At 38.1% G+C, this 14,773-nt stretch overlaps 1 protein-coding gene across 24 annotated transcripts in view; it reads left to right on the top strand.

Moving 5' to 3' along the window:
• The window catches only part of NHSL1 (NHS like 1), a 271,170-nt gene that overhangs the window by 185,936 nt on the left and 70,461 nt on the right, over positions 1-14,773 (top strand). For 20 of the 24 annotated variants that reach the window (XM_047419113.1, XM_047419109.1, XM_047419110.1 and 17 more), the window contains one exon: positions 10,906-11,058. In XM_047419113.1, coding sequence (XP_047275069.1) covers positions 10,906-11,058 — 153 coding nt within the window. Of the gene's footprint in view, positions 1-7,782; positions 8,045-8,532; positions 9,988-10,905; positions 11,059-14,773 lie in introns of those variants that run through there. The other 4 variants (XM_047419117.1, NM_001144060.2, XM_011535970.3 and 1 more) reach the window with 2 other exon arrangements.

The following is a 14,773-nucleotide window of genomic DNA, read 5'->3' as shown; positions in this document are numbered from 1 at the left end:
ATTTAACCTGTCAAAAAAAACTTTGATTTACCATAGGTGATGTTTGTACTTGGTATTTCATCACATCAGTGGACATAACATATCAGTTGCCCACCATTAGTGTTTGCTGGATTAGGGAGATGCCTGGCCGGTTCTTCCACTGTGTGGCTGCTCTAATATTCCTCTTACATGGCAGCTCTTCAGTAGGGAGTTAAAACTGACAAAGAAAGATAGAAGGTTCAAATATCTAAGATTTAGACTACTAAGAAATGAACAGTAGTAATCTGTAAGAAAAATGCCGGATGCAAAAAAATTAGAGATTGATTCTTAAGGCACAAGTGACCAATTCATCTTTTGGGTTGTTTCTAGTCAAAATAAATGCCCAGCAGCAGGAACTTTATAAGTCCACTCAATTTGTCTTGATTAATCTTAAGTAGTTTTTTTAATCTGCCATATCAAATAAAGTGATTTTTAACATTATAAATTATAATTGTATTAACTTTTACTGTAGATTTTTGAAAATTCCTTTAATAATGTCAACTGTTGAAGAATAAATCTTTATTACTAACCAATGGTTCTTCTTCCAGCTACTCCTATCAAACTCTTACTATTCTATGACCTTAGATAATTTTTTAAAATTGTACTTTAAGATTTCCAGATTAACCAAATACAAGATGCCCACTTACATTTAAATGTCAGAGAAACAATGAATTATATTTTAGCATAAGTGTATCCCATTCAATATTTGGGACATAGTATATTTAAAGATTATTTTTTATCTATCTGGAATTCAACTTTATTTGGACATCATATGTTTTATCTGGCAGCCCTATTTTTAAAAGTTGCCATTTTATTTACACATTTATTGACTGTATTAATTTACCTGCCTGTGTTACTAGTTTGCTTTGCAGCTTCAATAATTCAGTAATAATTGTTTGAATAATAATTCAAAACTGTTATTTTGCTAGACAAGAATTACAGACTGTACATAATTGCTCTCAATGTGAAACTATTAATAAAAACAGGAAACATAATTCTTACCTTCAAGAGTTAACATAGGAAGATTTTGTTCCTTAATAAACAGGATAGGCCTAAATTATCTTTATCTATTGGTAAAACATTATGAATGTTTATTAAGTAGATGATGTAAATTTTTAGAAATGTCTAAAATCCCTTACTACTCTGTACATTTTATTTTATTGGCCCAGAATGCATGGGTTGTGCTTTCTGCTGTGATGTTTTCCAATGTTTCAATGAGTCTGAAAAGCATAAGAATGAATGGGTGTGTCTATAGATTTAAAAATCGTATTTGAAGTATTTTAACCATGCATAAAGATGACATCTAAATTACCTTAGTCATATACAGTCTTCTATGCTAGATGTTAAACTTGATTTTTAAAAACACCCTAAAATGAATTAACAATCAGTAAAAGCACCATTTATAGATAAGGTTGCCCTGAAAAATTTTCTGTTTGAAGAGCTAAATTCCTTTGAGAAGCATTTCAAACGGTCATTTAATACACAGCCCTGAGCAGAACTCTATTATGTCTGACTTTTATTTCCCCTTTCTCCTCTTCAGGTTGGAAGAAAATAATGATCTTCATTGATTGTATATTTCATATTCTTTTTTTTTTTTTTTTTTTTTGAAATGGAGTCTAGCTCTGTCGCCCAGGCTGGTGCAGTGGCGCAATCTCAGCTCACTGCAACCTCCGCCTCCCAGATTCAAGTGATTCTCCTGCCTCAGCCTCCCGAGTAGCTGAGACTACAGGCACGTGCCACCACACCTGGCTAATTTTTTGTATTTTTAGCAGAGACGGGGTTTCACCATTTTAGCTAGGATGGTCTCGATCTCCTGACCTCGTGATCCGCCTATCTTGGCCTCCCAAAGTGCTGGGATTACAGGCATGAGTCACCATGCCCAGCCCCTGTTTCATTTTCAATTGCTCAAAGATTCAAATTTTATCTAATTCGAAATGCGTACATATGATATAAACATGGCTCATTTCTGCATAAACTCCTGTGTACAATATTTGAAAATGACCCTTTTTAGTCAATATTGTTTAACAGTATTTGTGAAAAAGTTTTTGGATTCCAAATAAAGACTTTCAGTACCTTAACTGCATTTGATACACTGAGGAGGGCCTGTGGGTTTGTGTAAATAGGGATGGGGGCGGGGATGGGCAAGGCTATGTCTGAGTTCTAGAAGCTGTAGACAGCTCTGCTCTTAAGAAGCTTTTAGGTTTAGACATATAATCTTTGGCCTTCATAAAAATAATGAGGGTGTACTTTAAGATCATACTAAAGATAAAAGCATGGGTCGTAACAGAGTCATTTATTTAAGTGGCCAAGGTTTAATTTTTTGAACTTTATACTTTAGGTTTATTTGGTTCCTGAAACATTTTACAGGTGGTGAAACATAGGCTGATAAAACCAAGTTGTTCTAGAGAAAGAAAGTTATTCTGAGCTGAGAATGAATTCTGACCTCTTCACATTTTGTGTGGATTGTGGCACCATTTTCTCTCCCCGCCTCTGGTCAATCCTATTCAAACCTACTTGTCATTTGACACCAGAGTTCTAGTTAAAATGCAGCACTGGCCCTACAGGTTCCCCTCTGATCCTCCATCAGGGACCCCCTTGCCACCACCTACCACTCACCCACGGTGGCAAGCAAGACCCTGCGGGCCTGCCCTGCCTCTCTCCATCTTCCCCACCACCTTTCCCCACAGGGCTGTCCCATGAGCTTTCACCGAAGTTTCAGCATATCTCCCCACATCCCAGGTCTGGGCTTTACCCAAGAGTCTCTTCTCTGTACTCTAATAGCAGGTGGTCCTTTAAATGAGGTGGATGTGTGTTATCATTTTACCTAGGAACTTCACCATCATCTCTCTCTCGCTAGACTTAATCTTTATATCATCATTTTTATCTGTGTGGGTGTGTCTTTTCCACTAGACTGTGAACTTCCAAAGGTCAATGATCATGTTTGATTAATTTTTAACCTGGACACCTAACACAAGGCAGCGAATACGTTCTCTCTCTCTTTCTCTCTCTCTCTCTTTCTTTTAAGAGACAAGGTCTCATTCTGTCACCCAGGCTGGATTGCAGTGGTATGATCATAGCTCACTGCAACCTCAAACTTCTGGGCTTAAGCAATCTTCCTGCCTCAGCTTCCTGAGTAGCTAGGACTACAGGCATGAACCACCACACCGGGCTAATATTTTTTTTGTATTTTTGGGGGGATAGGGTCTCTCTGGGTTGCCTAGGTTGGTATTGAACACCTGGCCTCAAGCAGTCCTCCTGCCTCAGCCTCCCAAAGCTCTGGGATTACAGGTGTGAGCCATTACATCCAGCCTCAGTTTTTACTTTTTTAACTGGGGATTAAATTTACCTGTCTGGTTCATGGAGGAAAAAAAAAAGATGATAGTCCTAATAGATGTAAAAATAGTTCCTGAGAAACAGTTTGGGGGGCAAAGCAGATTGTCTCAAATTAGATATGTTGAACTTGAGATAATGTGAAATCTGAGTAGAGGTTAGCAAATGGAACTGAGGGCAGACAAATGGAAGATAATAGAAATGAAGGTTGAGCAGGATGTTTAAAGGCAGTAGCTTAAGCCATGAGCCAGCCGTCTTTTTCTCTTAAAGGTCCAGGTAGTAAATATTTTCAGTTTTGAGGACCATACAGTCTTAGTCGTAGCCGCTCAACCCTGCTGTTACAACCCAAGAGCAGCCTTAGACAATATTTCAACTAATATTTGAACAAATGGGTGTGGTGGTGTTCCATTACAACTTTATTATTGGACATTGACATTTGAATTTCATGTACTTTTCACGTTATGAAATAGTCTTCTTCTTTTACTTTAAAAAAAATCATTTAATGGCCGGATTTGGCCAGAGGGTCATAATTTGCTGACTTCTGCTCTATACTAACAAAACCATTCAAGTTTCAAGGGGAAATAAGTAAATAGCATAGGACAAAGGCTTAAGGACTAGATCTTTGAAGCTTGGTTAGACTTTGTTGGAATTCGGAGAAGGAGCCATCATATGCAGGAGAGGAACTAGTGTGTTGCAGTGTCAATGAAGAGGATCAAGAGCTGGGTGGTTGGAAGTATATGATTAAGAAGATCATTAGGAAGGTGAGGAGAAAGAAAAACACCATTAGTAGGAGTCAGAAATTCACCGATGACCACTGAGAATTTTTTAAAAATTGAAATAAAATCTTAGACAATAGAAAAGATAGTATGTGGATATAAATTGGAAGCAGGGGGTATAGAGCAATTACTCGAGGTGTTGGCAGTTTAAGTCAGAGACAAGTAGGAAGACAGCCATGGGGTCTGCTACACTGATTCCCTTGCATGAAAGCATGGCCCTTTATTAAGCAGAAGGCTGCTAAGCTATCTCTTGAGATTTTATTCATTGATTTAACATACACTTACGTATGTTTACATACCAGGTACTGTTCTAAGGAGTTTATCAATAATAACTCTTAGTTTTCATCATGACCTGGTGATATAAACACTGTTGTTATCCCGTTTTACAGATGAGCAAACCAAGGCATGGAGGGGTCACTCCTCTGGTCAGTGGCTGGTAACCTGGGTAGGATGGTTCCAGAGGGGGACTGCTTTTCGCTATTATGCATTAGTGTCAAGTTTTTCATGTCTAGTTCATTAGAACATTTCTTTTTCTTTTTTTGCCCTGTGCAATGGGCCTTGCTTGTAATCCAAACACTTTGGGAAGCTGAGGTGGGAGGATTGCTGGAGGCCAGGAGTTTGAGAACAGCCGGGCAACATAGTACCCTATCTTTATAAAAACTTTTTTTTTTTTTCCGCCACTGTCATATATGGCTGAAGTAGGCATCAGAAGTACCATGGATTTATATCTTTTCTGTTGCACGTATAAATTGAACAATTAAAAAATACAGTTCCAGAAGAATACGGCTCTTCCATCAACCACAGCATTGAGGCATGCAGATTATATGATGAAAACATTTCCCTGTGCTCATGCTCATATCAAGGATGTAAAGTAAGAGCTGGCAATTGATTGGGTAAACTTTCTAATTAATAAGTGCTTTCAAAATACAACTTAATATAGAACGCAAGAAATGTGATAGTTTATTTGGTTTATTTCCTGGAGATCTGGATTTTATGGTGTTATGTGGCAGTGTGGAATAATGCACAGAGGATGAGACATCCTAGGATGCCGGGATGGAAGCCTGCATTCTCCCCCAGGTTTACCACTTACTCGTGTGTAACCAAGTACAGTTGGCTCTCCATATCCACAGGTTCCACTTCCGTGGATTCAAGCAACCATGGAACAAAAATATTTGGGGAAAAAACCACAATAAAAGTAATGCAGCAATAAAAAAAATACATATTTTTAAACCAATACAGTATAACAACTACTTACGTAGCATTTACATTGTATTAGGTACTATAAGTAATGTAGAGATGATTTAAAGTATATGGGAAGATGTGCATAGGTTGCATGCAAATACTACAGTATTTTATATCAGGGACTGGAGCATCCAAGGATTTTTGTATCCAAGGGGCATCCTGGAATGGATACAGAGGAACAACTGCGGCCACTTTATATCACACTTAATATTGAGTGAGAAAGGAAATTACCCCATGCAAGATTCTTCCTACAGTTCATTTTCTGAGAGGAAAGAGCACTTCTCTAGTCCTGGGGGATGGAAATGTGTCTCACAGCCTGAGGAATCTCTCTCTCTCTCTTTAAAATGAGAGCCAGTGAGATTCATTACACAGTTTTGTTTTCTTGCCATTGCCTCCTTCAAGGTTTTGCTCAAATCTCGACTTTTCACGAGGACCACCCTGACTCCTACGATGCTGCAGCCTGGCCACCCTCAAACCCCCTTTTATGTTGCTTAACTTTTTTATTTTGTCTGTTGCACTCAACTCCTTCTAATATACCACAAAATTGTAGTTCAGTGTCAAATAATTTAAGCTCCATGAGGGCAGGGATCTCACCTATTTTGTCCAATGATGTATCCCAATGAAATGAAAGAGTAGCAGTTAGCATCGGTGCCTGGTATTTATCTTTCTGATGAACGAATCTATATTCAGATGCCATTGTTGAGCACATGGAAAGCTACATGCTATGGAGGGTTGAGCATAATCAGAGTTTCTTGAAAGAACAATTTCTGTTTTCACTGGACATTTGCATGGTGACACTTAACCTCAAACACTTGTGGATTGTGCATATGAGTGTTTTTGCCCACAACTCTCCTTGTGTCTAATGCAATGAGCAGAGCGAGGTCACTCTTGCAGATAAATTTGTTTTCCAAAGGGGAACTTTGCCCGCTAATTTAAGGCAGCCACATAATCTGACTTACAGGCTCAGTCGTTTCTCATTTGCCATCTGGCAATTTAATTACTTTAAAATAAAGCTATATATAAAATGAAATAACACAAATTGGAAATCTGTGATAATATGTATGATAAGATGGTAACGTTTCTATGTGTTCTTTTGTTTTGTTGTTGTTGAAAAAATAAAGGGCATAAAAAGACCTGAGAAGGAATCATTTCAAAGCTTTCCCCTATGTGTTCTTTTGTTTTGTTGTTGTTGAAAAAATAAAGGGCATAAAAAGACCTGAGAAGGAATCATTTCAAAGCTTTCCCTAGACAGAGCCCCTTATATAAATTTTATTCTTTGACTAAGAGCCTTTGTTATAAACTAAATGTTTTGAATTAGTGGATTATTACATTTTTCCATTGAGTTATAAGTCTGGCCCAAAGCTATGAAATAAGAGGTTGTCTAAATTGTTTCAAAAGTGTTTGGCCATGAAGTGGAACTGGGCTGAGATGTGAGGAAGATTCTTTTCCTTTTTCCGTTGTCATAGTATTTCCGGATCTATATTCTCCTCTTTTTTCCTATCCCTTTACCCCTGGAATATGTTTTTTCAGTGCCTTCTTATACTCTGTTTCTGATTTCTCTGTCTCTACTTGTGCTTCCCTAGTTCTCTGTGGTTAATTGCCAATGGGCAAAAGAACCAGCACTCTGGATGGTAGATTCAAGTTAAAGAGTAACTCAGATAATGTTTGTTTGAGACAACATTGAGGGAAGGGCGATTATGGAATTCTGAAAACCAGGAGCCTAAGTGACAATTACATATAAAATAAAGATTAAAATGATTAGGGTACTTTATCTAATTTATCATTTGGAGTGGGGAAGTTGTATTTTTTTTGGTGGATTTTTTTTTTTCTTGATTGTTGTGGCAGCTAGATGCAAATAAGATCATGCTTTGGAACACACAATGCTGATTCTCAATCACTGGCAAAGAAGGGTGAGAAGACAGAGCATCCTAATTTGCACAAAAATGCAACCAAGTCATCATTTGCAGCTCCTTGGAGATTCTATTCTAAAGTTTTACTGCTTGTACAAGTTCCTTTGGTATCGGAGGCAGAGCCTGGGGCGTGGTTGGGAAACAATAGTTTGGTTTTTTTCCCCCCTAAATCAGTTCAAATCCCATATACCCTGAATTAACTGGAATTGCTGTCAGACTTGGCAGCTCCTGTAAAAGATCTGGGTGTTCATAGGGGCCTAATGAAATGGGGAACACATTTGTTTCATCTTGACTTCCGTAGAGGAAAGTCTGCACTATTTTTGTGGGCTCAGAGAGGAGGAACTTCTGATCTGTTGGAGAGAAAACTGAATGAATGGGCACTGAGGCAGAAAGCCTGATGTGGCTGTCATGCAAATAAGAACCGTGATTGGCTTTCTCTTTCTTTCAGCGCACGATGTCACTGGCTGCTCTCAGCCTTAAAGATTAGGTTTCAGTAGGAGTTTTTCAGGTTCAAGGACTGTTAATGGTTTGTAACTGCCTGACAATAAACTCAACCTCAGTTACATCAGCCTGGGCAGATGTCTAAGGATATGAGACCGGGGGAAGAAAAAGTTAGAATCTGTAGCAGAAGGACGAAGCTTGCCACCTGCCTACTGGGCTGAGCTTTTAATGTGATTTACATTTCTAAGCTCTATGTAGGTGCCCTGGAAATGGTGGTCTTCATTAATGCAAAGATTAAGTCTTTAATTAAACTTTTTAAGAAGAAAAGTAAGTAGTTCCTTTTCTCTCTACTACCTATTGTGTGCATATGTTTCCATATGTGTATATGTCCCTGTGTGTCTGTGTGTGTGTGTGTGTGTGTGTGTCCATGTGTGTGTTTTAGGTCCTTCGTTCTTTTGTGTGAAGAAATTAGAGTGTGAAACAGCGTAATAGGCATGAGTTAAACTCTACTCTATACCAGGTTGTTTAAATACCTCAGACTTTTGTAACTCTAGGACAGTATTATGTGATCTTAGCATGTCTTATTTATTTATGATTGGGGTTTTAAGTGAATTCACTTCTTCTGTGCTTTTCAAAAGAAGTCCTTTGAAGAGGGGGGAAATTCTTGTACTTAATTTATGTTTCCCTTGATATCAAGTGTATGATTTTTTGATTCTTTGGATAAATATGCAGCTGAGGTAAGGGAGCCTCTGTGTAATGTATCACATATTTCTGGTGGAGATAATCCCCTGAAACTCCCTGGCACTCTTTGTTGTGTATTTAAGAGCTCGAGCACAAACTGTCTAGACTGATCAGTGATTGTTGTAAGGTACAGAACTTTTGTGATGTGGCTTTATTGTGTACTTACCATTGACTTACATTTCTTTAATGTAGGTGCTTCTTCATTCTCTTGAAAATAATAATTTTTATAACTACTTGGCTTTGTTTTTACATAGTCGGTGGTTTATTTTATTTTAGTTTAGTTTAGTGTTTGGACCAGTGACTTATACTGGATAAATGAACATGGGTAGGGGCATTGGTAAGAGGAGCTTTGGAGAAAGCTACAAAGAGCAGCACGGTGGGCTGATTTTCTGCAGCTCCTTGCTAAAGGCTGCCTTTGGATGAACAGATTAAAAGTGGCCCTGGCGAGAGTGAGGAACACGAGGGGAAGAGACTTTTTCATAGGAGCCAGTTGGTAGCTGTGCAGTGGGGCCGATGGTGCGATTGATGGTGCAGACACGAATGCCATTACTTGGATTTGATTTGAAATTGTCGAATAGGAAAAGTTTCCATTTTCAATAGTTTCTAACTCTGAAGTATGGTAACTCAGTCTTTAAAATAAATGGACATCAGCACAAAACACTGTGATGAACTCTGGCTACACTTTGGGGGGACATATGGTGAGTTTGGCCCAATGCTAGATTCTTCTGAAACACAAATGAGGGTTAAGTCAGGTCTTTGTGGATTTTGTGTATTAAGATTGATAGTTGTATGCACCATGCAAAACATTTGCTCAACAAGAGTTTACATGAAATACTAGGTGCCAAATTCACATACTGCTTTTGTCAAATACTAAGCAGAAAGCACAATGGACATTTCTGTTTTTAACTTGATATCTAGTTCTCAATGTTTATTTTCTCATTTAGCAACTTACGGAGAAGGTGGGGTCCTTTTGAAAATGAGTTATCCTGTTCAGATTCATAAGATTGTAAAATTTAGTAGCTGCAGAAAAGATGGTATGTGAGATGAGCGCTAGCATGTGGCCCAGGTTTACAAGAGACAGTGACAGTTCAAAGTTTGGGGCCTCGTTAGAATAATTTTTACTGTTCCTGCCACAACCATGTTTTACCTGAGTTATTTCTTGAGCTAAGTACTTTATGTATATTGGTTCATTTGATCTTTAGAGTAGCCCTAATAACTGTGCTATAGAGTATGTTTAGTGAATTTTAGATGTGCTCAAATGGATTTAATAGTTTATGCGTGTGTTCTCATGTTACTTTGAGAATTCATTTTATGGTCTAGTTTCCAGGTACATGTTATGTTGGGGACATGGATACGCCCAGTGTGAACTCTATAGCATAGATCAGAGTCAGGAAGACTTGCTCCTCACTCACAATTCAAGTATCTGCTGGCTTTACAGGGGTTAGACTTGCTACCTCAAGCAAATGCCTCAGCACAAGGACTTTCTCCAGTACCTTTCCAGTCTCTCTTATGCCTGGGTTACATGGCAGGTATATAGAAAGTATTAAAACATTGTTGATGAATTTGTTTTGGTGCTGTCGGCCTCATTTTGGGCTCCACTGATGCCCCAACTTAGCTCGTGTTGTCAGGAAAAATGAACTAGAGAGGTCTCAAGCCTCCGAGGATTTAAAGAAAAATTATTGTAGAGATTTATCTTACTCTCAGGATTTTACCTGTTATTTTGTCCTCTAATGTCTTGGTCTCTTCTGTGCTGGGAAAATTTAGTTGAACTGGATTGTGTTGGGAAGAGTCAATTGCATTGTAATTTTAAAAATGTTTAATATAAAAGGGTTTCATGAAAGCAAGAAATGCAGAGAGAATTTTGTAACACAAATGGGTCTCCACATGTATTAGCTATGTCATTTACATGTAAATTGAATGTTTACGCTTAATTTTTTAAAAATGTAATTGAGTTTATAACAGTGATGCTCTTTAAATAATGCTGTAGAGGGAGAATATTTGTTATAAACCTCCTGGTAGGAAATTCATTTCTATCAGGACAGTCTAACATTTACTGTTGCGATGGCATTATACAGTTGAGTAACTGCTATTTGTTGTGTGTGTGCGAGGGGGGTTAAGTAGGAATTGGAGGTCTCTATCAATTCTGTCAGATGTTTTCAAACATTGGAGTAAAGGGAGGACCTAAAATGCTGGGAAGCAGTTAACTGAGCAAATGATTCTATGAAAACATTGTTTGGAGGGTGGACACTTTCAGCTTTTCTTTTATAAGTAAAACACTGTGGGCGAGACCCCTGGAATCTAAGATTAAAACTAATTTAGGATTTGCTCCATTGCTCCCTTGCTGGCCCTTACCCGTGGATGTGTTAGACATGGAAACACATCATGATGTAATGAACTCGTAGCCAATGAAGTTGACACCTGAATGTATTCTATCTTTTTTTCTATAGCGGTTTCCAACCTAGATGAGGAAAGCCGATGGACAGTCCACTACACTGCCCCGTGGCACCAGCAGGAGAATGTGTTCCTTCCCACCACAAGACCCCCCTGTGTTGAGGACCTGCACCGCCAAGCCAAGCTCAACCTCAAATCAGTACTGAGGGGTAAGATGGCATCCTCTGTGAGCTTATTTTCTTGGGTTACTGGCTGCTGAGAGCATAAATTTGATATCTATTTATAAAACCAGCTCTACTTTTATTGAATGTATAGTATGCTACGTCTTTATACGATATCATAAATACAACCTAATACATGCTGATATGGTTTGGCTGTGTCCCCACCCAAATCTCATCTTGAATTGTAGCTCCCATAATTCCCCTGTGTTGTAGGAGGGACCCAGTGGGAGATAATTGAATCATGGGGCCAATTTCCCCCATACTGTTCTCATGATAGTGAATGAGTCTCATGAAATCTGATGGTTTTATAAGGGGACACCCCTTTTGCTTGGCTGTCAATTCTCTCTTGTCTGCCGCCATATAAGACGTGCCTTTCACCTTCTGCCATGATTGTGCGGCCTCCCCAGCCATGTGGAACTATGAGTCCATTAAACCTCTTTTTCTTTATAAATTTCCCAGTCTTGGGTATATCTTTTTCAGCAGTGTGAAAATGGGATAATACACATGCCTAAGATGTTCTGGTCTCTGCAGAAACTTGCCTATTTGCAGATATGCAAATCTGTTTCCAGGAGCCCACACCTTCTTAGAAACACTTTAGCATGTTTAAACCGCCAGTGTTAATTTGATCCAAATAAACCACTGCTGACATGGGCAGTTTTGCCACTGTCTTTTTAAAACCATTGTAAGTATTCAAAACCAATTTGTTTTTTTGAACACACTTGTTTGTTCTGTTTAGTTCAAGCTGGCTGGAAAAAGGACCTATGTATAGACTTTGAAGACATGCTAAATGGTTTGATTTATCAGAACTGGGGTATCACCCAACTGGGCTCCTCTGAGCCTAGGTTCTGCCAGCAGATGAGCAAGGTATACTTGGTCAAGTAGAAAATATAGGAAGAATGTATTCCTATATCTAGTTTAAAATTCTCATTTTTACTTCAGTTCATTGTGGTTTGTTTTTCTTATTGAGATGGAGTCTCACTCTGTCACCCAGGCTGGAGTGCAGTGGTGTGATCTCGGCTCACTGCAACCTCCACCTCCCAGGTTTGAGCCATTCTCCTGCCTCAGCCTTCTGAGTAGCTGGGATTACAGGAGTGCATCACCACACCTGGCTAATTTTTGTATTTTTAGTAGAGATGGGGTTTCACCACTTTGCCCAGGCTAGTCTCAAACTCCTGACCTCATGTGATCCACCCACCTCAGCCTCCCAACATGCTAGGATTACAGGCATGAGCCACTGCACCCGGCCCAATTTATTGTTGATGTTAAAAAGTAAATGTGTGGCAAGGAGGGCAGCCTAAAGGTGATAAAGAAGGAAAGTAGTTCTTCAAAGAGGAAGGAGTGACTTGTAAAATTCAGAGACTTTTTCTTAGTACAACAAACCAAACTTCTTATTCTACCAGATGCTGCTCCTACCAGACTTCTCCTACCATGCAGTATTTGGGACTTTAGTATACCAAAGAAGTATTTGTTATTTATCTGAAATGTAATTTAACTGGGGCTCCTGTATTTTATCTAATTGTGGAAGACTTGACTTTGGGAGAAATTCTGTCATTGATTCAAGGAAAATCTAGAAAAATAATTTTATCTTGTATGTCAGTCACTTATGAAGTGATTCATTCTTTAATGTACCACCACTATGATGACTGATAACATTTATTAAACACTTAACTCTAATGCCAGATACTGTTCTAAGCCCACTGAATGTATTATCTCATCTAATTTTCCCAGTGATCCTACTGCTTACTGTTACTGTTGCAGATGGAAAAATGGAAGCACAATGATTAGAAACTTTCCCAAGATCTCCAAGTTAATTAGCAGTAGGACCAGGATTTAAACTTGGACAGTCTGAGGCTGTGGAGCTCATATTCTTAACTGCTACACTATACTGCCTTTAACAATGATTTATTTATTGGGAATCTGTTATTCTGGCAGAAGTGCAGAGTACAAAGGCAGGGTCCTAGCTCTCAAACACAATGTGGAAAATACTGAGGAGACAAACTAAAAATTGCTGTATGGGAATTAAAGAGGGCAGATAACTTCTGCTTGGAGAGAGAAAGAATAGCTATCCATAGGTTCACCATAGATTTGGTGTTCTGAACAGAACTGTGCAGACATTTCAGATCATGGTTCTATTTTTTGTTCCTTTAATCTTTTGTAATGCTTAGATTATCTAATGTATCTTCCAGTATCTTGTATCTCATAGCTTTGCTATTGGACTATCCAGAAGTGAGGGCATTGTTGGTTTCCCTTTTTATTTAGCCTGAGTAACCTCTGTCTTTAGTGACTTCAGTCTTAAATAAGAAGAATGGCATTCGTTTGGTTCGTTTGTAAATGGCCTTGGAGTTGTGCTTTGAGCTTTGTTGCTGTCATAATATTGGTCCCTTAATGTACCTAAATCCAACCAAAGTTTCTTCTAGATCCCTTTACTTCCTTGTGATTTATCTTTAGTAAATTGTGACCAGGAACTTCTCTACTTATAGTTCACCTTCCTCCACCAAATTGCTAATAAGAATGTTAAATGGCACCGTTCCCAGGACAAATCCCCGAGGCAGTGCCTCATTAGCATTTCTCTGCCCAGCTCCTAAGCAACAGAGCACTACATGGTCTGGCTTGTAGAAAACGCTTTCGTGAAGGTATGTGTGAGTTTGAATAGTCAGGCTCGACTGTTTTTGATCACTCTCCAGGAAACTGTGCTTCACTCCCATTTCATGTATTTTCAAGTTCCAGATCAGGACTTGACTTTTCTCCCCTTGAAAAACTGAACATCTGTTTATAGGCATTTCTGCTTTTCTTTTTGAATATGCAGTACATCTATATGAAATATCATCTATCCCCACTGGTTTTGCCTAAACTTGAATTTTATTTTGAAAAGATAAATGCTTTCATAATTGCTTTAATGCTCTAAAATGGTTCATCAAAGGGATTTACTATTAATAAAATTAATAACTTTGGAAAATTCCTGGAGTGCAACCTTTAAAGTCTGGATTTAAAAACTTCGTAAGAGATTTTAGATAAATTATAGACTTATGAACTGTGGTTGGGAAGGATGAAATGAGAAAGATTATCTGAGTTCTTTTGTTCTCAGTTATTTACTTTTAACCACATGTACAGAACTTCACGTACCTCTTCCCCTATATCATCTCAGCAACCTGAAATAAACACAACATGAGTGCAAGGTATTTATTACCTCATTATCAGTGAAGATTAAAAAAAATCAGTCTCTGAATATGTGGCACTATTAAGATTTGATGTTATATAAATTATCAGTCTAAGTTCATTCAACCTCAGCATTCTCTACTTAAAAATATAGAAAGGTAGCTAGGTATTCACAGTGAGTAATCATTTTGTTTCTTCTTCTATTCTTACTGTGTCCATAATTTTAAGAAAAGAATACCATTCTTTAATATTAAACAGGTTATTCCTTTTTCATCGCCATTAAATGCTTATTGTATGAATTAGTCTGTCAGTTTTTATGGGGAGCTAGTCTACTCTTGGGAACCATAAAGTGTGAAGGGAAACGACACAGCGAGTATCAATAAATGCATAATGAAATGTAAACATATACATTTTAAAACAATGCATAAATCCTTAGTAGTTAACAGATTAACTGAAGAAGCCACAGAATTACTGGAAAATGTTTTGTGAAAAAACTGAGTTTGACTTAGTACATAAAAGCAGATAATAGACATAAATTAATCAATAT

This window comes from Homo sapiens, chromosome 6 (genome assembly GCF_000001405.40).
Source record: "Homo sapiens chromosome 6, GRCh38.p14 Primary Assembly".
NCBI lineage: Eukaryota > Metazoa > Chordata > Mammalia > Primates > Hominidae > Homo > Homo sapiens.
Note: the sequence above shows the minus strand (reverse complement) of the source record. Positions and strands in the feature narration are given on the sequence as shown.